This window comes from Homo sapiens, chromosome 16, assembly GCF_000001405.40.
Source record: "Homo sapiens chromosome 16, GRCh38.p14 Primary Assembly".
Classification (NCBI taxonomy): domain Eukaryota; kingdom Metazoa; phylum Chordata; class Mammalia; order Primates; family Hominidae; genus Homo; species Homo sapiens.
The window spans coordinates 16,084,775-16,107,521 of NC_000016.10; the positions used below are offsets into that span (position 1 = coordinate 16,084,775).

At 50.4% G+C, this 22,747-nt stretch overlaps 1 protein-coding gene and 1 pseudogene across 27 annotated transcripts in view, besides 2 other annotated features; one reads left to right on the plus strand and one right to left on the minus strand.

Annotated features, from left to right (window-relative positions):
* ABCC1 (ATP binding cassette subfamily C member 1 (ABCC1 blood group)) overlaps positions 1-22,747 on the plus strand; it is a 193,911-nt gene that overhangs the window by 135,632 nt on the left and 35,532 nt on the right. For 22 of the 27 annotated variants that reach the window (XM_047434134.1, NM_004996.4, NM_001438755.1 and 19 more), the window contains 4 exons: positions 2,050-2,217; positions 5,631-5,814; positions 17,853-17,943; positions 21,964-22,099. In XM_047434134.1, the coding sequence (XP_047290090.1) occupies positions 2,050-2,217; positions 5,631-5,814; positions 17,853-17,943; positions 21,964-22,099 (579 nt within the window). The remainder of the gene's footprint in view (positions 1-2,049; positions 2,218-5,630; positions 5,815-17,852; positions 17,944-21,963; positions 22,100-22,747) is intronic. The other 5 variants (NM_019898.3, NM_019899.3, NM_001438720.1 and 2 more) reach the window with 1 other exon arrangement.
* On the minus strand, positions 9,259-9,739 carry RPL17P40 (ribosomal protein L17 pseudogene 40; annotated as a pseudogene).
* Positions 14,970-15,471: an enhancer, noted in NCBI's record as "H3K27ac hESC enhancer chr16:16193601-16194102 (GRCh37/hg19 assembly coordinates)". NCBI's record gives its function as "activates a minimal SCP1, AML or CMV promoter by ChIP-STARR-seq in naive H9 embryonic stem cells {active_cell/tissue: H9 hESC(naive)}" and the evidence as "EXISTENCE:reporter gene assay evidence [ECO:0000049][PMID:30033119]".
* Positions 15,472-15,971: an enhancer, noted in NCBI's record as "H3K27ac hESC enhancer chr16:16194103-16194602 (GRCh37/hg19 assembly coordinates)". NCBI's record gives its function as "activates a minimal SCP1, AML or CMV promoter by ChIP-STARR-seq in naive H9 embryonic stem cells {active_cell/tissue: H9 hESC(naive)}" and the evidence as "EXISTENCE:reporter gene assay evidence [ECO:0000049][PMID:30033119]".

Sequence of the window (22,747 nt, forward strand, 5' to 3'; positions counted from 1 at the left end):
CACGCACAGCTAATTTCTGTATTTTTAGTAGAGATGGGATTTCGCTGTGTTGGCCATGCTGATCTTGAACTCCTGGCCTCAGGTGATCTGCCCGCCTCTGCCTCTCACAATGCTGGGATTACAGATGTTAACCACCTCGCCCGGCCTATAACTTGAGTATTTTCTGTATGTTGGGAACTATGCTAAACATTTTACACGTAATTCTTCCCCACAGCAAGCCCATGGGTGGAATTTGTTGTTATACCTAGGTAATCATTGAGGAAAAAGGAGGCACAGAGAGGCCAAGTGACTTACCTGAGGCCACACAGCCACAGAGCTGCAGAGAGCATGGTTCCTGTGTCCATGTTGTTACCTGCTCATTTTGTCATCTCTAAAAGGGCCATTCTCTGCCTCTCACCACTGCAGACCCTCCCTCCTGCTGTGCTCCATCTCCCAGGTTTTCCTGCTGCTTCACAGCAACCCCCAGCCCCTGCCCACCTCCACACCTTGGTCTGAGCCTTCAAGGCCTGGGGTGCCTCCCCTGCTGCTTGCCTGGCCACTTTGCTCTGGCACCCCATGGTGGTCGTCTGGTGTGTCCCCTCTTGGAAGACCAAGAGTGCAAAGCACTGGCCCATTTCTGTTTTTAGTTACAAGCCAGGGGCTCTGTCGGCTTTCTTACGTGGTGAATGATGTTTAAAAATTGAGATAAGCCTGCAGCTCCTTGGAAATAAAAAACGAATTATTGGCTGGGCGCGGTAGCTCACGCCTATAATCCCAGCACTTTGGGAGACCAAGGTGGGAGGATTGTCTGAGGTCAGGAGTTCGAGACCAGCCTGGGCAACATGGTGAAAACCCACCTCTACTAAAAATACAAAAAGTTGCCAGGCATGGTGCCGTGCACCTGTGGTCCCAGCCACTTAGGGGGCTGAGGTGAGAGGATTGCTTGAACCTGGGAAGCGGAGATTACAGTGAGCTGAGATTGTGCCACTGCACTCCAGCCTGGGCGACAGAGTGAGATTCTGTCTCCAAAAACAAAAAGAAGGCACGTGGCTGCCAGGACCCCACCTCAGTGCATGGGAGTCAGGGCAGGCATCTCAGGAGGGACTGGGCAGTAACCTGTGATTTCCAGCCAAATAGGGAAACGACGTTGGCTTATCTGTCATGGTGGGAGCTGGCGCTGCTGCTGGTCCATGCATTGTCCTTCCTCCTGGTGACTGGGATGTGGGCTGGATTTCAGCATCCCCAGGCCGGAGCCTTGCTTCACCTATATGTGGCTTTGCCAGACAGTGACAGATCCAGAGTAAGCTGGCAAACATGGCAGCTGTCACCAACAGCAGCAGTAACAATAATATGACCACGTCCACCAGCGCCTTCCATGAGACTAAGGGATCACGGCCTTCCCACTGGTCAACATGATTTGGTGCCGTCAGCCATCCTTTGCTGAGCACTTGCTGTGCACCACGTGCCCTGCTCAGCACCTCACGGGAGATTCAGGTTTTCTCTTTTGCCCAGTTGACAGGTGGGGCTAAACCCTGTGCCTGTGATCCCATCCTTGGTGGTGGTGGAGCTGGGGCCTGGCTCCAGGTTTGTGCAGGCGTGACCTCATGCCTTCAGCATCAAACTTAAAGAAGAGGAGGTGGGTGCAGCTCTGCAGGGCCTTCACCCAGGACCTGCTGTGTCCTGAGCAGGCTCTATGCCTTTCTTTCTTTCTTGTTTAAAGAGACAGGGTCTCATTCTGTCGCCCAGGCTGGAGTGCAGTGGCCCAGCCATAGCTCGTTGCAGCCTGGAACTCCTGGGCTCAAGCCATCTTCCCACTCAGCCTCCTGAATAGCTGGAACTACAGGCGCACATCAGCAGGCTTGGCTAATTTTTTCTTTTCTTTTCTTTTCTTTTTTTGTAGAGACAGGGTCTCCCTATATTGCTCAGGCTGGTCTCAAACCCCTGGTCTCAAGCAGTCCTTCCACCTTGGCCTCCCAAAGTTCTGGGATCACACCACACTCGGCCTGCTTCTACGTATTGTGAGTCTCAAGATTTCCCAGGAAACCCACTCCTGTGTGTGTCTCTCCCCAGGGCGTGAACCTGTCTGGGGGCCAGAAGCAGCGCGTGAGCCTGGCCCGGGCCGTGTACTCCAACGCTGACATTTACCTCTTCGATGATCCCCTCTCAGCAGTGGATGCCCATGTGGGAAAACACATCTTTGAAAATGTGATTGGCCCCAAGGGGATGCTGAAGAACAAGGTGCCTGCTGGCGGGGTGGGGCTTGGTGTTGGGCCGTCTCGCCCTTTGGTTAAGTCAGAACGTGTCCCCTTTAGGAGTCCTTTACTTTCTCTGGCTTTCTTTGTTTTTAATTGGACTTTAAAGAACACATTTCTCATGCTTGTCTTGGAAGCCTTCCTAAGACAGCCGTCTTGTACTTGTCTTTATAGGGGTAAGTCCTCCGCGCAGAGTTAAATTCATTGCCTCTCCATGGCCAAGGGAGGCCTCTCTTCCTGATTAAGTCACAGGGCTGGCTTCTTAGCGGGGAATCCCACTCCAAGACATTGCCTGTGACCTAGCAGGCTGCATTTTCTTACTTGCAGAGGTGTCTGTGGGTAGAGGGGTCGGAAAATTGCCACAACACCTTAACATAATAGGAAATAGTTCCTGTGTTCTTTTTATAGGGCAGTTGTGGTAATGGGTACACACTGGCTCTTTTTTTTCTCCCCCTGATTTTATTTTTTTGAGGTGGAGTTTCGCTACTGTTGCCCAGGCTGGAGTGCAGTGGCATGATCTCAGCTCACTGCAACCTCCGCATCTCGGGTTCAAGCACTTCTCCTGCTTTGGCCTCCCAAGTAGCTGGGATTACAGGTGCCCACCACCACGCCTGGCTAATTTTTTTTATTTTTAGTAGAATCGAGGTTTCACCATGTTGGTCAGGCTGGTCTCGAACTCCTGACCTCAAGTGATCTGCCCGCCTGGGTCTCCTGCAATGCTGGGATTACAGGCGTGAGCCACCACACCCGGCTGTTTCTGCTGATTTTAAAACTAACACATCCCCATGGGGGGCATATAGATTAAGAAAAACATGAAAAAGAAAAATGGAAGCAGTTACACACATTCCACTGGTTAGAGGTTTTGTATTTTTTTCAAGTCTTTTTGCTCTGTGTATAAACTTTTTAAATAGGGTTATCTTGTTCCACGTATATATACAGGAAACATCGTGCTACATGACCTCTTGTAATCGTTCCCATACATACCACTAACATTCTGTGTAAACATATTTTAAAATAGTACAAAACATTTTTGAAAATTACTAAGTAATACATGCCCATTGTAACAAAATTGAAAAGTACAAGAATATGGATATCTTCTTATAATATATGTGTGTATGCGTGTGTGTGTGTGTGTGTGTGTGTGTGCATGTATATAAAGTAAATAAAGCTGGGCACGGTGAGTAATCCCAACACTTTTGGAGGCCTAGACCAGTGGATCACCTGAGGTCAGGAGTTCGAGACCAGCCTGGCCAACATGGTGAAACCCCATCTCTACTAAAAATACAAAAATCAGCCGAGTGTGGTGATGCATGGCTGTAATCCCAGCTACTCGGGAAGCTGAGGCCGGAGAATGTCTTGAACCCGGGACGTGGAGGTTGCAGTGAGCTGAGATTGCGCCACTGCACTCTAGCCTGGGTAACAGAGCGAGACTCCGTCTCAGAAAATATATCTAAATAAAGTAAATAAAATAGTCCCTCTTCATCCTGCATCCCTAATCTTTAATTCTTCTCTTAGAGAGCAAGGGTTAGCAAATCTGGCCCACTGCCTGCTTTTTATATGGCTCTTGAGCTAAGAATGATGTGTGTATTTTTAAATAGAAGAAATCTAAACAGGAAGAATATTTTATGACATTTGAAAATCGTATTAAATTTAGATATCAGTGTCCATAAATAAAACTTTATTGGAACATGGCCAATGTATTTTTTTTCTTTTTTTTTCTGCAGACAGGGTTTTCCTCTGTTGTCCAGGCTGGAGTGCAGTGCCACAGTCATGGCATGGTAGCCTCCAGCTCCTCGGCTGAATCAATCCTCCTGCCTTCTGAGTAGCTCCTGGGACCACAGGCATGCAGCACCATGCCTGGCTAATTTATTTTTATTTTTATTTTGTGGAGACAGGTCTCACTATGTTTCCCAGGCTGGTTTCAAACTCTTGGCCTCAAGGAATCCTCCCGTTTTGGCCTCCCAAAGTGCTGGGATTACAGGTGTGAGCCACCGCACGTGTCCTGTTCTTTAAAGCATCGTCTACAGCTGCTTCAACTCGGCAGGGCTGAGTTGGTGCCATGGCAACTGTAAGATCCATAAAGCTGAAAAGATTGACCGTTAGCTGTTTAAGGAAACATATGCTGACTTCTATTAATAGTTTGATGAATGTCTTCCCAAACTTTCAGATTTGCAGATAAAATGTATGCATGTGCATATTTTGTAGTGGTTTTGGGGGTGGCTGACAGCGGGAGTTGTTTTAGAAAAAAATTAAGCCAGAGCTGGGCACGGTAGCGCATGCCTGTAGTCCCAGCACTTTTGTAAGCCAAGGGCGAATGGATCGCTTCAGTTCAGGAGTTCAAGATGAGCCTGGACAACATGATGAGACCCCTGTCTTGACAAAAAATACAAAAATTATCTGGGCATGGTGGCACGTATCTGTAGTCCCAGCTACTTGGGAGGCTGAGGCAGGAGAATCGCTTGAACCCAGGAAGCATAGGTTGTGGTGAGCCGAGGTCGCACCACTGCACTCCAGCCTGGGCGACAGAGCGAGACCCTATCTCAAAAAGAAAAAAAAAAAAGAAGAAAAAAATTAAGCCATTGGGCTGGGCGCAGCGGCTCACACCTGTAATCCTAAAACTTTGGGAGGCCAAGATAGGCAGATTGCCTGAGGTCAGGAGTTTGAGACCAGCCTGGGCAACATGGTGAAACGCCATCTCTACTAAAATACAACAACAAAAAAATCAGCCAGGTGTGGTGGCGGGCGCATGTAATCCCAGCTACGCGGGAGGGAGGCTGAGGCACGGGAATTGCTTGAACCCGGGAGGCGGAGGTTGCAGTGAGCCGAGACTGTGCCACTGCACTCCAGCCTGGACAACAAAGTGAAACTCTGTCTCAAAAAAAAAAAAAAAAGCCATTGCATACAAACTGTTTTGCTGTGGCACCATCCTTTTATTCCTTTACACACTTGTATGGTTCCCTCCCTACCTCTTGTCATTCAGGTTTTTGTTAAAAAATAACCTTCCCCATTACCTTTGTTAAAATTGCAAAACCCGCACACTTGGTACACCCGTTCCCCTTTTTGCTGTGTTTTTGCCATTCAGCAAGCACTATTCTACTAGTGTTCGTTTCTCCTGCGGCCCTGGAATCTGGGGCAGGGGTCTTTGTTTCCTTCCCCTTCCCCAGCTTTTAGCTCAGCACCTGAGGCGTGGCAGGCCCTTTGCACATGCATGTTACAGGACCGTGTGCACAGGTTCAGCTGCTCCTGGATGCTGTTATCGCGGGTGCATGTCCCACCTTCAGACCTGAGTTTTGCCCACCAGGTGTTCGTCGGCTCATTCCTCCTTTAGTCTTCACTCTGCCAAGCTAGGCAGTCTCACACATGTGCACTCACGTGGCCGGGTGTCCCCTTTGCCCACAGACGCGGATCTTGGTCACGCACAGCATGAGCTACTTGCCGCAGGTGGACGTCATCATCGTCATGAGTGGCGGCAAGATCTCTGAGATGGGCTCCTACCAGGAGCTGCTGGCTCGAGACGGCGCCTTCGCTGAGTTCCTGCGTACCTATGCCAGCACAGAGCAGGAGCAGGATGCAGAGGAGAACGGTAGGGGCAGCCCCAGGGTTCCACCCACTCAGGGTGTCTGGCACCTTGAAGGGCCACATTGGCCTCTTTGAGGTTGCCACCAGCCACTTGGGGAAGGCGGCTCCTCAGGGCATGAGGGTGGGAGCTGGATGGAGCCCCCTAAAGAAGCAATGTGGAAAACCACCTTAGTCCCTGCAGCGCTGAACTGGGAGAGAGTCTCGGTGCTTTATGGCCAGGGGATGGGAGCACCAGGCTTCAGCTCAGCTGACCTCAGGGCAGGGTCTAGCGCCTTCCTGGAACATGACCTTGGACCTGATGAGTTTCAGGGTCCTTATGGCAAAAATGGGAATGATGGTAATTAAAGTCCTGGCTCTCGGGGCTGAGAGAAACTGAGGACATACGTGACACAAGAGATGTGAGGGTTGTGAGGTGAAGCACGGAGTTAAGCTGGCAGGCTCGGGTTGGTGACGTCTGGGTTCAATCCCCGGCCGCTCATCTCCCCAGCTATGTGACCTGAGGCCTGCCCTTCAGACCCATCTGAGCTTCACTTTCCTCCCTCATAAAGCAGTTCAGCAGGGCCAGACGTGGTGGTTCCCAGCACTTGTAATCCCAACACATAGAGAGGCTGAGGTGGGAGGATCGCTCCAGCTCAGGAGTTTGAGACCATCCTCAGTAGCATGGCGAAACCTCATCTCTACAAAAAATACAAAAAATTTGCCAGGCACAGTGGCTCACGCCTGTAATCCCAGCACTTTGGGAGGCCGTGGTGGGTGGATCCCTTGAAGCCAGGAGGAATTCAAGACCAGCCTGGCCAACATACTGAAACCCCAACTCTACAAAAAAAAAAAAAAAAAAATTCAGATGCTATTAAGTGCTTTGGAGGGGAAACAAAAAAGACAATGCCATGGGCTGAGGAGTGATGGGTGTCATTGTGGCAACTCAGGCAGGGGATAGGGAAACCCTCTCTGGGGAGGTTGCATTGGCATGGGAAGGAGCCAGCAGGGAGAAGATCTGGGAAGTGTTGTGGGCAGAGGGAACAGCCAGTACAAAGGCCTCAGGACCAGCATGAGCTCAATTTGTTTACAAAACAAAAAGGGTGGTGTGGCCAGACCATGGTGTGCCAGGACGTGGGGGGCAGGAGAAGAGGTCAGCACAGTGATTGTCCTGCAGGGCCTTCCAGGTGGGTTTTGGTCTAACTGCCCTGGGAAGCCACTGAGTGTCAGAGAGGCAAAGTGACCAGCCCCAGGATACACAGCAGCTGCTGGCAGGGTTGGTTCTCAAGTTGGTCTCTGAGTTTCTCATCCTTTGCCTGGGGTGGGAGCTCCTTCTCTGCAGAGGTCCTAGTGATCTCTAATAAGTGCTTTCTTGAGATGTAATTCACACACGTAGGCTGGGCGCAGTGGCTCACGCCTGTAATCCCAGCACTGTGGGAGGCTGACACAGGTGGATCACCTGAGGTCAGGAGTTGGAGACCAGCCTGGCCAACATGATGAAACCCTGTCTCTACTAAAAATACAAAAATTATCCTGGCGTGGTGGCGCACGCCTATAGGCCCAGCTACTGGGGAGGCTGAGGCAGGAGAATAGTTTGAACCTTGGAGGCGGAGGTTGCAGTGAACCGAGATCGTGCCACTACACTCCAGCTTGGGCAACAGAGCAAGACTTCGTCTCAGAAAAACAAAACAAAACAAAACAAAAATTCATACAACATACAATTAACCCACTTAAATCACAAAATCCAACCATCACCACAGTCAGGTTTAGAACTTTTTTTAATCACCCCCAAAAGAAACCCCAATCCATCAGCCATGACTCCCTATTTTCCCCAGCACCTCCGAAGCCCTAGGCAACCACTAATCTTTCTGTCTCTCTAGATTTGCTTATTCTGGACATTTCATATAAATGCCATCACAATAGGTGGAATGTTGTGACTGGCGGCTTTTACACTTAGCGTGGTGTTTTCAAGGTTCGTCTATGTTGTAGCTTCATTTCCTTTTATTGCGGAATAATATGCCATTGTGCAGATAGACCATACTGTGTTGATCTGTTCACTGGTTGATGGACATTCAGGTTTTTTCCACTTTCTGACTCTTGTGAATACTGCTGTCATGAGCCCTGGTGGTTTTAAAGGAAAAGTTGGTGGCCGGGTGTGGTGGTTTGTGCCTGTAATCCCACCACTTTGGGAGGCCAAGGCGGGTGGATCACTTGAGGTTAGGAGTTCAAGACCAGCCTGGGCAGCATGGTGAAACCTCGTCTCTACTGAAAGTACAAACATTAGCTGGGATGGTGGTGCACACCTGTAGTCCCGGCTATTCGGGAGGCTGAGGTGGGGGAATCGCTTGAGCCTGGGAGTCAGGCTGCTGTGAGCCAAAATCATGCCACTGCACTCCATCTGGCCTGGGTGACAGAGCAAGACCATGTCTCAAAATACAGTTGGATTTTTGTTTCTTGCCAGTGCATGATAGCTGACATTCCCTTCAGCTTTTAAATTATTTGATTAGACTGAATTTCTGCATGTTCATTCCCTTGTGGTTGGGAAGTTCTACCTTGAGTCTAGCCTGTTTCTTCTTGCTGCAGAATCCCCCTTTGTCTATCTCTCAGCCCGAGCAATGCATTGTGGCAACTTCTCGGTGACTTTTTCACTGACCTGCTTGGCAGGCTACTTTTAGGTGACAATACCCTTTGTGCTCTCTAAATCAAAATGTGTGGGTTTAGCTGAATCTTTTGCCCAGCGTGAGGTCTGTCTCTCTACCCTTCCGTCCAGGTGAGCAAAAAATGTCCTTAAACTCTCTTGGCCCCAGATAGGTTCCGCACCCCCGCCTTTCTTTCCCAGCTGCTAGAGTATCCAAGCAGTGTATACAGAACATGGAAGGCTGCCAGATGCTTTGTGATTTTTGTACACATCAGCACTTAATTTGGTGATGCAAATGCCGCCCACCACCCTGGCACCTCGTGCGTTCATTTTCCCAGTTTGACCTCCCTACCTCCTGCCTTTGAGGTTACATAGAAGTCCTTGGCAGTGGGTCTTACATCAAACTGGGGCACCCCCCTCTCTCACCACCCACCCTTTTCCATTGCTCTGGAGGGGCCCTGGCTATAAAGTCTTGACATCAGGGTCTGGTCTTGCCCAGCCTTAGCCAACTCGAAGCGCCAATGACCTTGGGTTTGTTTAAACCACATTTTTGGCTCTTCCTAAAGGGGAACTTTTTTCCTTGTTGGATTAATCAGCTCTTTTTTTTAGAACACCCAGGCTGAAGGGGTGCAGGTGTTGGTATTTGGTTTGGGAGAATCCTTGAGGGGGGATGGGCAGGAACCAGGCTTGTGAATGGGGCCATACCGACCTCTCTCCCGGGATATTCAGTTTACTGATTTCTAAGAAATATATCTTTTTTACTGTTTGTCTCCCTCTCTCCTTTTTTTTTTTTTTTTTTTTTTAACTTTTAATGGCATTCCTTTTATTCCTAATTTATTCCCATGCCATAAGCTTTTGTTTCTTCAATTTCTTCTGGGATATATTTTTCTTCTGTGCAGCCTCCCCTTCCGGTTTAGGAACAGTTTGTTCCCTTTCAGGCAGGATCATCTGGATGTGGCAGAGTGAGCTCACGTATGGGTTAATCCGACCGACCCTGAGCTCTGTAGGTCCGGCGACGCAACTTAGGTGCTTTCTTCAGTTGGATATGCTCAAGGACCAGAGAATCTGCATCTGAACCCTTAAGTTCAGTGTGACTCTCTGTATTTTTAAGCATGTGCAGCAGAAATTCAGTGCTCTTTTTGGGCCGCCGACCTTGTGGCCAGCCCCACTTCTTGGCCTGGGTACATCTACCAACTCCACCATTATAATGTCAGAATGGTACATGTTGTTTCTGTAAAGTGGCATCTTTCTGATACTTTGTGGCCTTTTGTACGTGCATACCTTTGATGGCCTGGGCGCTTTCAGGAGTGTTCTTTTTCTTTTTCTTTTTTTTGAGACGGAGTCTTGCTCTGTCGCCCAGGCTGGAGTGCAGTGGCGCGATCTTGGCTCCCTGCAAGCTCTGCCGCCCAGGTTCACGCCATTCTCCTGCCTCAGCCTCCCGAGTAGCTGGGACTACAGGCGCCCGCCACCATGCCCAGCTAATTTTTTTTGTATTTTTAGTAGAAACGGGGTTTCACCGTGTTAGTCAGGATGGTCTCGATCTCTTGACGTCATGATCCGCCCGCCTCGGCCTCCCAAAGTGCTGGGATTACAGGCGTGAGCCACTGCGCCTGGCCTTTTTTTTTTTTTTTTTTTTTTGATACAGAGTCTCACTTGTTGCCCAGGCTGGAGTGTAGTGGCACGATCTTGGCTCACTGCAGCCTCCACCTCCCGGGTTCAAGAAATTCTTGTGCCTCAGCCTCTCGAGTAGCTGGAGTTACAGGCATGTGCCACCACGCCCAGCTAATTTTTGTATTTTTAGTAGAGATGGGGTTTCACCATGCTGACCAGGCTGGTCTCAAACTCCTGGCCTCAAGGGATCCTCCTGCCTCAGCCTCCCAAAGTGTTGGGATAACAGGCATGAGCCACCATGCCCGGCCTCACAAATGTTCTTAAGGTGAACACGAAGATTTGAACCTCTTGATCTGCATGATTCTGTGGTGTTTTCTGGATAAAGTGAATAGTGAACCATTTTCACAGATTGCCTCAAGCCCCTTAGGGGAACAAATTTTTAAGGGATTTAAAAAAATGGCTCATTAACCTTCATACCTGGAAGGTAAAACACATCTTCATGACTCTGGTTTCTTTCTTAGGAACCTAATACCTAGAGCAGTGGTTTTCCATCAGGGGCAAATTGCCCCCACCCTGGGGACAGTTGGCAATGTTTGGAGACATGTTGGGATGTCAAAACTGGAGTGGGGTTTGCCCCTGGCAGGCAAGCAGGGTAGAGGCCAGCGATGTCGCTAAACATCCTACAGCACTCAAGACGAATTCCCCCTTACCCTGCCCCCCGTGACAGGGAATCCCCTTGCCAGGACATCCAAAGCACCACGAGCAAGAAACCCTGTGTGCTCCGACTTCACACTGCTGAATTCTTCCCTTGTCCTCTTGGGAGAAGGATCTTTATTCCAACAATGTGGCCATTTTTCTCTTTTAAAAAATTTTATTTATATATTTTTATGTTTTTTTATGGAGATGGGATATCAGTCTGTTGCCCAGGCTGGTCTCGAACTCCTGGGCTCAAGCGATCCTCCCACCTTGACCTCCCAAAATGCAAATGCTGGGATTATAAGCATGAGTCGCGGCACCTGGCCCGTGGCCATTTTTCAAAACCTTGCTTGAACCATCTGTTAACCTCATGGCAAATATTTTTCCCTCTTAAGTATTTACCGAGTTTTTCTTAATGATTATAAAAGCAACATGTGCTCATCGTAGACATTTGCAAACTACAAAAGAGTACAAAGAATCAGGAAAAAAGGTGGCTCATATGTGTAATGCCAGGACTTTGGGAGGCCAAGGTAGGCGGATCACCTGAGGGCAGGAGTTCGAGACCAGCCTCGCCAACATGGTGAAACCCCATCTCTACTAAAAATACAGAAATGTCAGGAGGCTGAGGCAGGAGAATAGCGTGAATCCGGGGGGCAGAGCTTGCAGTGAGCCAAGATTGTGCCACTGCACTCTAGCCTGGGTAACAGAGCGAGACTGTCTCAAAAAAAAAACAAAAAAACAAAAAAAAACTCCCGAGAAAGAACATCTTTCTGCCCTCACTGCCCAGAAGGGGAGCTGTTGTTAGCTTTGGCATCTTTTTCACCTGTCCTTCCTTCCTAGGCCTTCTCCCTTGACAAGATTGAGAGTATATCTTAGAGTTTTCTCATCTCCTGCCACCTTTTGATTTCTTTTCTTAACAGTGGGCCATAAGCACCTCCCCAAGTTACACAAATTAGTTGTCAGCACAGAGCAGCTGCCGAGAGAGTTCATCAGACAGACCCCCACATTCCTTCTGGCTGTCCTCAGAGGCCGGATTTCTTCCTCTTTTGAGGATGAAGAGCTTTCTCTGCCGAGGCTGGGGGAGGAGGTCAGTGAGGCAGCCAGTGAATGCCGTTTTTGGTCAAAAATGAGGCGTTGACTATAAAGCTGTGAGTTGAATTCTTCCCTCCGGGGAGGCTGGCCTGCTGGACCTTGCCCAAGCAGAGTTCCAGAACCTTCTTGAGTAAAGGCAGTGTTGGTGGAATAAACAGTGAGAGGACTGGCAACGGAATACACAGACCCGGGGCAGCACTTAACGTACGTGGGTCAAGGGTAGAAACAGCACCTGGCTTGACAGCATCCAAAACCCAACACCTGGTGGTTGCATGAACTCAGTGACAGTCACTGAATTACAAGTTTCGTGTGTTTGCTTTAAAAAAAAAAAGAAAGAACTCTTGCTACTTTATAGCATTCTCCACCCTGGCCCCCAGCCTTCATGTCCCTCTTCTTCCCTGCTTTGATTACTTTGTGGCACTTATTGCTGCCTGGAGTAAATTATGGATCTACTTGTTCATTTATTGTTGATCTCTTCCTTTGGAATTTAAGATCTGAGGGTTTTGTTTGTTTGTTTTGTTTTGTTTTGTTTGTTTTGGGAGTCTCACGCTGTTGCCCAGGCTGGAGTGCAATGGTGCAATCTCGGCTCACTGCAACCTCCACCTCCTGGGTCCAAGTGATTCTCCTGCCGCAACCTCCCAAGTAGCTGGGATTACGGATGCCTGCCACCACGCCCGGCTAATTTTTGTATTTTTAGTAGAGACGGCGTTGTGCCACATTGGTCAGGCTGGTCTTGAACTCCGGACCTCAAGTGATCCACCCGCCTCAGCCTCCCAAAGTGCTGGGATTACAGGCATGAGCCATCGTGCCCGGCTGCTCTGAGGGCTTTTTGGTTGTCTCTCCATCCCCAGGACTAAGAAAAGAGCCTGACACATAGTAGACACTCAGTAAATGTGTTAAATGAGTGGATGAATCGCACCTTGGCTGTTCAAGGCATGTCCTGCATAAGCAGTGGGTAGGCCGGAGGGCTTTGGATGTTTACACTGCAGATAAATACCTCAGACTAGGAGAAAATAGGAGTGGATTTCACCCCCTCTCAGGTCTGCTTTAGAAAGCAGCTTTGTCAGTCCTGCCTATGAGAGGGGCCCCTCTGGCATTGGGAAGTCAGCTCTGCTTCTTGACTTGACTATACACTTGTCAGTCTGCCCATCTGTCTGTCGGGTGTGTACAGAGTGCCTGCTGTGTGCCACAAGGCCACCTGGTACGTGAGCCTCTGTGTGGAATGGTGCCCCCCACGTTGAGTTGTGCAGTGTGCATCTTGTGTAACTGCACTTGGCCACCTGCTGTGCCAGGTGCTGGTGATACAGTAATGGATATGACCCACTTCATGCCCTTGAGAGCTCACAGTCTGATGGGAGAGACAAACGCCAAACAATTAAGGGTATCATAGTGCTAAATGCAGTGATGGAGGGCTGCTTGAGGGCCTGGGAAATCACAGAGAAGGAGCCCCCATCCCAGCCTGGGAGGGTCCAGGGTGATATCTGGGCTAAGTCACCTTTTCTTCTCCTCTTGGGCACATGTGCATCTGGCTCTGTGTGGGGCCAGCCCCTCTCAGGAGCAGTGTCTGTCCTCAAAGGGGCTGGAGCTGATGCCCATGCCACCTCCCAGTGTCATGCCTGGCCTGCCTACTGTAATACTTTATTTCTTTTCCTCTCCTGCGTAAAAACAAGCCTGAAGACTGAAGGTTGGTCTGCATTATTTGTTTAGCTCTATTTATGGTTAAACACAGTTATGACTTTGGCCAGGCATGGTGGCTCACGCCTGTAATCCTAGCACTTTGGGAGGCCAAGGCAGGTGTATCAGCTGAGGTCAGGAGTTTGAGACCAGCCTGGCCAACATGGCAAAACCCCGTCTCTACTAAAAATACGAAAATTAGCCAGGTGTGGTGGCGGGCACCTGTAATCCCAGCTATTTGGGAGGCTGAGGCTGGAGAATTGCTTGAACCTGGGTGGCGGAGGTTGCGGTGAGCTAAGATCACGCCACTTCCCTCCAGCCTGGGCTAAAGAGTGAAACTCTGTCACAAACAAACAAACAAAAACCCAACACAGTTATGACTTTGGAGAAAGGGGTTGGTCTTGTGCAGTGTGCTTGTCCCGGATCCACCCAGCACGTGTGGGATGGGGAAACTGACGCACAAATGGAGCAGACCCTTCAGCCATTCTTGCCTCTCCCCCTTTAGAAAAGACACTCCCTTCACTCCTTTATTTAGATAGGGGCTTAGGGCGGGAGTTTCGCTTTGCTTCTTAACAATATCTTGGGTCTTCTGAATTCCCAGGCAGCACAGTGATGGACGAGGAGGAAGCAGGTCAGTACTGCCCGGGTTGGAGTTGGCTTGGCTCATAGAATGAGGCCAGAGACGGGCCGAGACTGTCGCTGCATGTCTGGGGAGGTGCCGTCAGATGTCTGTGTTTTCACCCCTCCGGTTGTTCATTGGTTCATTTAGCACACATTTACTGGGTACCTACTGTGTGTCTGGCTTTGAGGCTGGCACTGGGGGATACAGCCTGAGTCCCCAGATCCCTTTATTGTCACTGATGACCTTGGGTAAGCTCTACTGTTTCATGCATCACGTTACCGTGACCAGCATGCCTTGAGGGGACCATGCTTATGAAGTGCCTGGCACACAGTGGATGGACAATAAATGGCAACAGTTTGATTGTGAGCTGCCACGCATAGATCCTGGGGCACAGTCAAGACACACATGGGCCCAGACAATGCAGGGTGATCAGCGCCTGTTGGGGAACTGCAGCAGGTGGTGGTGGGGACCCTGAAGAGGGATGTCGCCTAGTGGAATTCCAGTGGCCAGACTGGACCCATCCCTCCTGCCTTCTGCAGTGTGTGGCTTAGGGTCCCAGCCAAGGGCTTTTTTTGTAAGCAGCAGAAGCTGAATCTGGCCACCTTAAACAAACAGAGGGTGTTTCCTGGAAGGATACCAGGTAACTCATGAATCAAAGGCAGAACTGAGCAAGTAGGACTCAGGAAATGGGAACTCTGGGAGACTAGACTCTTTTAGGACAGGTGAACTTGAACTGTCTTTGGTCCTTGTAGACCACTGATGACGGTTCAAATCCTGGGAGAGGGGCTTTTATGGGGCGACCTCAGACAGTGCCCACCTTGGCTGGGGGAATCTGAGGCACCCTGATTGACAGGCCCACCAAGGCTGTAGGAAGAGGGAGAGCTGATCCCTTCAAAAAGCCAACAGGGGGCCAGGCACAGTGGCTCACACCTGTAATCCCAGCACTCTGGGAGGCCGAGGTGGGTGGATCACCTGAGGTCAGGGGTTTGAGACCAGCCTGGCCAACATGGTGAAACCCCGTCTCTACTAGAAATACAAAAGAATTAGCCAGGCACGGTGGTGCATGCCTGTAATCCCAGCTTCCTGGGAGGCTGAGGTGGGAGGATCGATTGAACCCAAGAGGCAGAGGTTGCAGTGAGCCAAGATGGCACCAGTGCAATCCAGCCTGGGCGACAGAGAAGACCTTGTCTCAAGACAAGGAAAAAAAAAAATGCTGAGAGGATGGTGGACTAACTGATGTTCAGATTCCTCCTCTTAGGCGCTTGGTCCTCCTCCGTGCAGAGTGGAATTTTCCAGCTGCCCAGTTCGACCTGTGGGCTAATTGGTGGGTTGAGAGGGTAAGACAGCCTTAGCGAGCACTGCATGCCTGCAGAAGCTCCCAGCTGACCATGGTGGCTGCGCTCAGTGACGAACAGGAGAAGTGAAGGCTGAGGCTTATAGGAGGGTGGCCTGAGGCTGCTGGTAGGAGAGCGGGGGGGCTCTCTGCGGCATGCAGCCTCCAGATGGGGGTCCCTGGGAGTGTTCTGGAACATTCTCATCCCTGCACAGAGAAAGATGGTTAAGGGCATGGCTGGTTCCCAGTGTCACACATGTGTGTGAGGACAGGCTGCATGGGAAGTCCTGCTTGGTATCATTCTTCCTTCCTGGGTGATGTGGCTATTTGTGTTTTGTTTGTTTTTTAAGTTAGTGTTTAGTTAGTTTAGACAAAACAAAACAGATGCTGACATTAAAGGGAATGTTTAAAGCAGAGTTTCTCAGTTCCTGGCTGTGCCTAGAATTCTCTGTAGAACCTGTTTAAAAATGTATTTAGTAATAAGCAACACGGGGGTCGCCATCACTGAACACTTGCTGTGCCAGGCACTGCGTGCAGTCTCGTTTCACCCTCTCGCAAATGAAGGTTGGGTCTGCTGTTCCTGTTTTGCAGATGTGGAAGATGAGGCTCAGACAGATTTATCATTTCCCCAAGGGGCACAGCCAGGAAGTGAGAGAACACTTCCCACATATCACAGTTCCTGGAGCTCTAATCGAGACTCATAGCAGGGACTGGGCTGGACACGAGGGCACCTGCTCAGTTTTTAATTTTAATTTTTTGGTTTATTTTCTTTTATTCGTGTTTTTTAGATTTTTTTTTTATTTTTATTTTTTATTTTTATTTTTAGACAGAGTCTCGCTCTGTCACCCAGGCTGGAGTGTGGTAGCATGATTTCAGCTCACTGCAACCTCCGCCTCCCGGGTTCAAGCAATTCTAGAGCCTCAGCCTCCCGAGTAGGTGGGATTACAGGCATGCACCACCACGCCCAGCTAATTTTTGTATTTTTAGAATAGAGTTGGGGTTTTTCCATGTTGGCCAGGCTGGTCTTGAACTCCTGGCCTCAAGCGATCTGCCCGCCTCGGCCTTGAAAGTGCTGGGGATTACAGGTGTGAGCCACCGTGCCCGGCGGCCACCTGCTCATTTATAAAGCCCCCCGTGACTCATTTACAACCAAGACTGAGAATTCCTGGCATGGAGTGCCTCCCTCTGTCCAGGAATGATCTGCAGCCCCCTCTTCCCTTCCAGGTGTGTCTGTGTCTCCCTGTGGCTGTTTCTGCAAGATTTTGCATTTTTGAGCTCTGCTTTTATTCATGTCATCACCCGAGCATGTTCCCAGGGTCACCCTGACCATGCTGCTGGCTGCGTATTTATCCCTTTTGTATCTTCTGTCCTGGGTCCTCTCCCACCTTCTCTGGGGTCAGCCCTGTGGTGCCTTACATTGTGCTGCTTTCTCTCCTGGCACCAAAGAATGAGGCAGTCAGTGCGGAGTGGGGGCAGTAGTCATCATCATCACTGAGTTATTGTGAACCGGGAAAGAGATATGATCTGTGTTGACACGACACACGGTGCCCAAGTGCACTTGATAAATGTTGGCTGTCATTGTCATTGTTGATGTTCCGGTGATTATTGTTGATGCTGGGTGGATTCTTCCTGGGATCAGGGCAGATATCCAGCTGCTGTGTCCCTTGGTGTCCTTATCAGTGTCCTTCCTAATTCTGCAACCAAGGCATCTGCCAGGGCTGGGGTCTCATCTGAAGACTCAATCAGGGAAGGGTCCACTTTGAAGCTCACCTGGTTGTTGGCAGAACTTGGTTCCCCAGTTCAAATGTTGAAATACTTTATTACTGTGGAAACAGCCACTGCCCCAGGTACCTTTTACCCTGAACTCTTGGGACCTCTCTGTGGTCTAGGAACTGAAGGGTTAACTCCTGGCACTACAGGGGTCTCCGGGCCTCTGCCTGTTGGCTGATGGCCTTGTCAAATTGGTTATCTATTTTGAATATCACTTCTTCTTTCAATGCTTGGGAATCACGGGGCTATGCCCTTTCCCTCATGCGTTTCCTTGCATCCTGGTCCTAGGAAGTGAGCTTAACATAGCAGGGCTACTGTTTTCTGGGCTGGGTTTTACCCATTGCTGCTGGCACAGGATGCTGGCTCAGGCCCAGTGCCCTCAGTGGATGGAGCCTTCTGCACAGTTGCAAAGCACTGTCCCTACCCCAAGGGACTGAGCTCCAGATACCACCTGCCCCACAACCAGACAGCCTGTTCATGGCCTCTGCAGAGCAGGTCTCCTACTTTCTGATCATCCTGGCGGCCAGGTGCTCTGTGGTCTCCTCACTGAAGTGGCCGGTTTTTGTTGCCCTTGGTTTTAGCATCTGCCTCATATAACCCCACTTGCCCCCTTTGTCTCTCTTCTGCCAGGGGTCACGGGCGTCAGCGGTCCAGGGAAGGAAGCAAAGCAAATGGAGAATGGCATGCTGGTGACGGACAGTGCAGGGAAGCAACTGCAGAGGTAAGGGCGGGGAGGAAGGCCCCAACCTAAGGACCCTGCCCTGCCAGTGGGAGGACAAGAGGAGGAACAAAAAAAGGCCTCAGCCCCCTGAGGTCCTGGAAGGCCTGGGCTTTTACCTTCCCTCCCAAATCCTCCAAGGACCTTGCTTTTCAGAGTACAGAGGCCCAAAGAAGGAATGTGGCACTCTTTTTGCCAGGTGGCACAACTCACACAGGCCTCATGATTTAACCAGCTGTCCACGCTTCTGACACTCGGGCTCCCTACATGGTGTGGGTCTTTGCTCAGGTCTCTTGGCGGGGCCTGGAAGGTTCAGGCTTTGTGAAGCAGCATTTGATTTAAAACTGTCTCAAGGCCAGGTGTGGTGGCTCCTGCTTGTAATCTCAGCACTTTGGGAGGTTGAGGCAGGAGGATCGCTTGAGGCCAGGAGTTTGAGACCACAGTGGGTAACATAGCAAGACCTCATCTCTACAAAAAAGGAAGTATGCTCGTGTTTGATTATAGAGGGCTTCCTTAGATCCCTGGGGATTTATAGCGTATGCAGTATATTAACCATCCTAGCTTTTAAAAAACTGGCTAAGTCGGCCAGGCAGGGTGGCTCATGCCTATAATCCCAGCACTTCGGGAGGCTGAGGCGGGCGGATCACCTGAGGACAGGAGTTGAAGACCAGCCTGGCCAACATGATGAAACCCTGTCTCTACTAAAGATACAAAAATTAGCCAGGCATGGTGGCAGGCGCCTGTAGTCCCAGCTACTCGGGAGGCTGAGGCACGAGAATCGCTTGAACCCAGGAGGTGGAGGTTGCAGTGAGCCGAGATTGCGCCATGGCACTCCAGCCTGGGTGACAGAGCGAGACTCCATCTCAAAAAACAAAAACAAAACAAAACAGCAGCAGCAGCAGAAAACAGTAAAACAACAACAAAAATTGACAAAGTCGGAGCCTAAACGTATCAGACCGCGGAGATCTGAGAAAGGATCCCGGACCTGCAGTTGCTACAGGGGTCAGGAGAGAGCAAAGACCATGCGGCATAGCACGGTGCCTGGAACAGACAAACACTTCGTAGATGTCGCTTTTGCCATGGTTATCATCCGGACATGGTTATGGTCCGGAATTGGTGGGTCTTGGTCTCACTGACTTCAAGAATGAAGCCGCAGACCCTCACGGTGAGTGTTACAGTTCTTAAAGGTGGCACGTCTGGGGTTTGTTCCTTCTGCTGTTCGGATGTGTTCGGAGTTTCTTCCTTCTGGTGGGTTCGTGGTCTCGCTGGCCTCAGGAGTGAAGCTGCAGACCTTCGCGGTAAGTGTTACAGCTCTTAAGGTGGCGTGTCTGGAGTCGTTCGTTCCTCCCGCTGGGTTTGTGCTCTGGCTGGCTTCAGGAGTGAAGCTGTAGACCTTGATGGTGAGTGTTACAGCTCACAAAGGCAATGTGGACCCAAACACTGAGCAGCAGAAAGATTTATCGCAAAGAGTGAAACAATAAAGCTTCCACAGTTTGGAAGGGTACCCCAGTAGGTGGCCACTGCTGGCTCTGGCAGCCAGCTTTTATTCTCTTATCTGGCCCTACCCACATCCTGCTGATTGGTCCATTTTACAGAGAGCCGATTGGTCTGTTTTTACAGAGTGTTGATTGGTCCGTTTTGACAGGGTGCTGATTGGTGTGTTTACAACCCCTGAGCTAGATACGTAAGTTCCCCACATCCCCACTAGATTAGCTAGATATAGAGTGTTGATTGGTGCATTCACAAACCCTGAGCTAGACACAGGGTGCTGATTGGTGTGTTTACAAACCTTGAGCTAGATACAGAGTGCTGATTGGTGTATTTACAATCCCTTAGCTAGACATAAAGGGCCTCCAAGTCAGCACCAGACTCAGGAGCCCAGCTGGCTTCACCAGGTGGATGCCACACTGGGGCTGCAGGTGGAGCTGCCTGCCAGTCCCGTGCCGTGCGCCCTCACTCCTCAGCCCTTGGGCGGTGGAAGGGACTGGGCGCCATGGAGCAGGGGCGGCACTCGTCCGGGAGGCTCGGGCCGCGCAGGAGCCCATAGCGGGGAGGTGGGGAGGCTCAGGCATGGCAGGCTGCAGGTCCCGAGCCCTGCCCCGCGGGGAGGCAGCTAAAGCCCGGTGAGAAATCAAGTGCAGCAGCTGCTGGCCCAGGTGCTAAGCCCCTCACTACCCGGGCTGGCGGGGCTGCCCGGCAGCTCTGAGTGCGGGGTCCACCGAGCCGACGCCCACCCAGAACTAGCGCTGGCCCGCAAGCGCCCTGTGCAGCTCCGGTTCCCTCCCGTTCCTCTCCCTCCACACCTCCCCGCAAGCTGAGGGAGCCGGCTCCAGCCTTGGCCAGCCCAGAAAGGGGCTCCCACAGTGCAGCGGCGGGCTGAAGGGCTCCTCAAGCGCTGCCAGAGTGGGTGCCAAGGCCGAGGAGGCACAGAGAGCGAGCGAGGGCTGCGAGGGCTGCCAGCACGCTGTCACTTCTCAATCTTACACAGCCTAAATTCTAGTGGGAGACTCCAGACAGTGCATGAGTGTAGAAGGATGTAAGATTTTCTGTCGAGGTGTGTGGATGTGTGAAGTCCTAGGTCATGAAGCAGGAAGCCCCAGCTCCCCATTTGAATTCTAGATTCCATCCAGAGTTGGTTCCAGTTGCTCCCTCTGCCACTCCCTGAAAACTCACTCTTGCTTTCAGATTTGAGGGCCACTTCCACCTCACTAGGCCTTAACTAAAGACCTTTGCACAGATCTCATGGGTAAGGAAAGTTTACCCAATCCCAGGCGCTAATTCAAAGAGGGGAGGTGGTGGAGGTTTATTCGGCCTTCAGGAAGTGTTTTCAGGGGACACAGTTCTGGGGGTGCAGGGATGACTCATATGGGGCTCTTGACCTCAGTTAGCTTATAATCTTGTGCAGGAGATAAGTGGGTAGAGGAAAGTATAGAAATTTCCACGGCAGTGAGCCGCAGCTGTGTTTTGCATGGTCTCCATAATTTCTTTTCTTTTCTTTTCTTTTTTTTTTTTTTTTGACATGAGTCTCCCTCTGTCGCCCAGGCTGGAGTGCAGTGTGCAGTGGCGCGATGTCAGCCACTGAACGGAAAACTGTGGGCGACGCAATCTGTGATCATCTCTGGGGGTCTGCATAAAGCTCATGACCACTGATGTGCGAAAAGTGCTTTTTTTTTTTTTTTTGAGACAGGGTCTTACTCAGTCGCTGAGGCTGGAGTGCAGTGGTGCAATCACGGCTCACTGCAATTTCTGCCTCTGGGATTCAAGCGATTCTCCTGCCTCAACCTCCCAAGTAGTTGGGACTGCAGGTGCACGGTACCACGCCTGGCTAATTTTTGTATTTTTAGTAGAGACGGGGTTTCACCGTGTTGGCCAGGCTAGTCTTGAACTCCTGGCCTCAAGTGATCCGCCCACCTCGGCCTCCCAAAGTGCTGGGATTACAGGTGTGAGCCACTGCACCTGGCCAAATAATGCTTTCTGAGTAACACGCTTGCATGAAGGAGCAGTCAGGCAAGATCCCACCCCAGTGCCCACCACATTTGTAAAACAAGAAAATCGAACTAGCTGGGTACTTTGCCCTATGTTTTTCATCATATGTTACATTTTGAATCTTTTTCATGTTTGAAAAATGATCTACGATGTGCCCTTTCTGTTATATCTTTTATTGGCTTTTTTTTTTTTGAGATGAATTCTAATTGATCTCAGAAAAAAAAAAAAAAAGCACGCACTTTTTATATACCAGTTGTCATGGGCTTTTTGCAGGCCCCCAGAGATCATCACAGATTGCGTTTCCCATGGGTCTCATTCCTGCCTGAGACACTGCCTTTCTCTGGGTACCTATAAACCTGGAGAGTGACATGGTGGGGTGTGGTGCATATATTCATATATATGTTTACATGTGTGCATGTGGAAACACTCCGTCTCTTATGCCATGGTTCAGACCCACAATAGCAGTCCCAGCAGGGAGCCCTCCGACCCTGCCCAAGGCATCTGTACGGTTGACACCCTTGTGCTTTGCTTCTCCAGACAGCTCAGCAGCTCCTCCTCCTATAGTGGGGACATCAGCAGGCACCACAACAGCACCGCAGAACTGCAGAAAGCTGAGGCCAAGAAGGAGGAGACCTGGAAGCTGATGGAGGCTGACAAGGCGCAGACAGGGCAGGTGAGATTCGCTCCTTAAGTGATGACAGTGGCTGGAGTTTATAGAGCGCCCACTGTGCACTGGGCACTGTGCAAAGTGCCTTGTCTATGTTAACTCACCTGTCCATCACAACACACCTGTGAAGATACTATTTGCAGCACCAGAAACTGAGGCCAGAGAGGCTAAGTGACTTACTCACGGTCACCCCTGGTCAGCGGCAGAACTGGGATTTGAACCCTGGCCAACTCCAGGGTTAGTACTTGTAGTCTCTGCTCTATTGACTGCCTGAGCAGCTCAGGGGGGTCTCATTCGCTAGAGGTGAGCTGGATGCTTTAAATCAGGGCTTCCTGCAACGTGGGGTTCAGTTGTGCATGAGATGGTGTCCGGTTGTGCACAGACGCATTAAATGACAGAGGAATGTTTGTTTCATTTCTTTTTTTAATTTTTATTTTTTTGAGATGGAGTCTCACTCTGTCACCAAGGCTGGAGTGCAGTGGTGCGATCTCGGCTCACTACAACCTCTGCCTCCTGGGTTCAAGCAGTTTTCCTGCCTCAGCCTCCTGAGTAGCTGGGATTACAGAAACTTGCTACCTTGCCCAGCTAATTTTTGTATTTTTAGTAGAGACAGGGTTTCACCATGTTGGCCAGGCTGGTCTTGAACTCCTGACC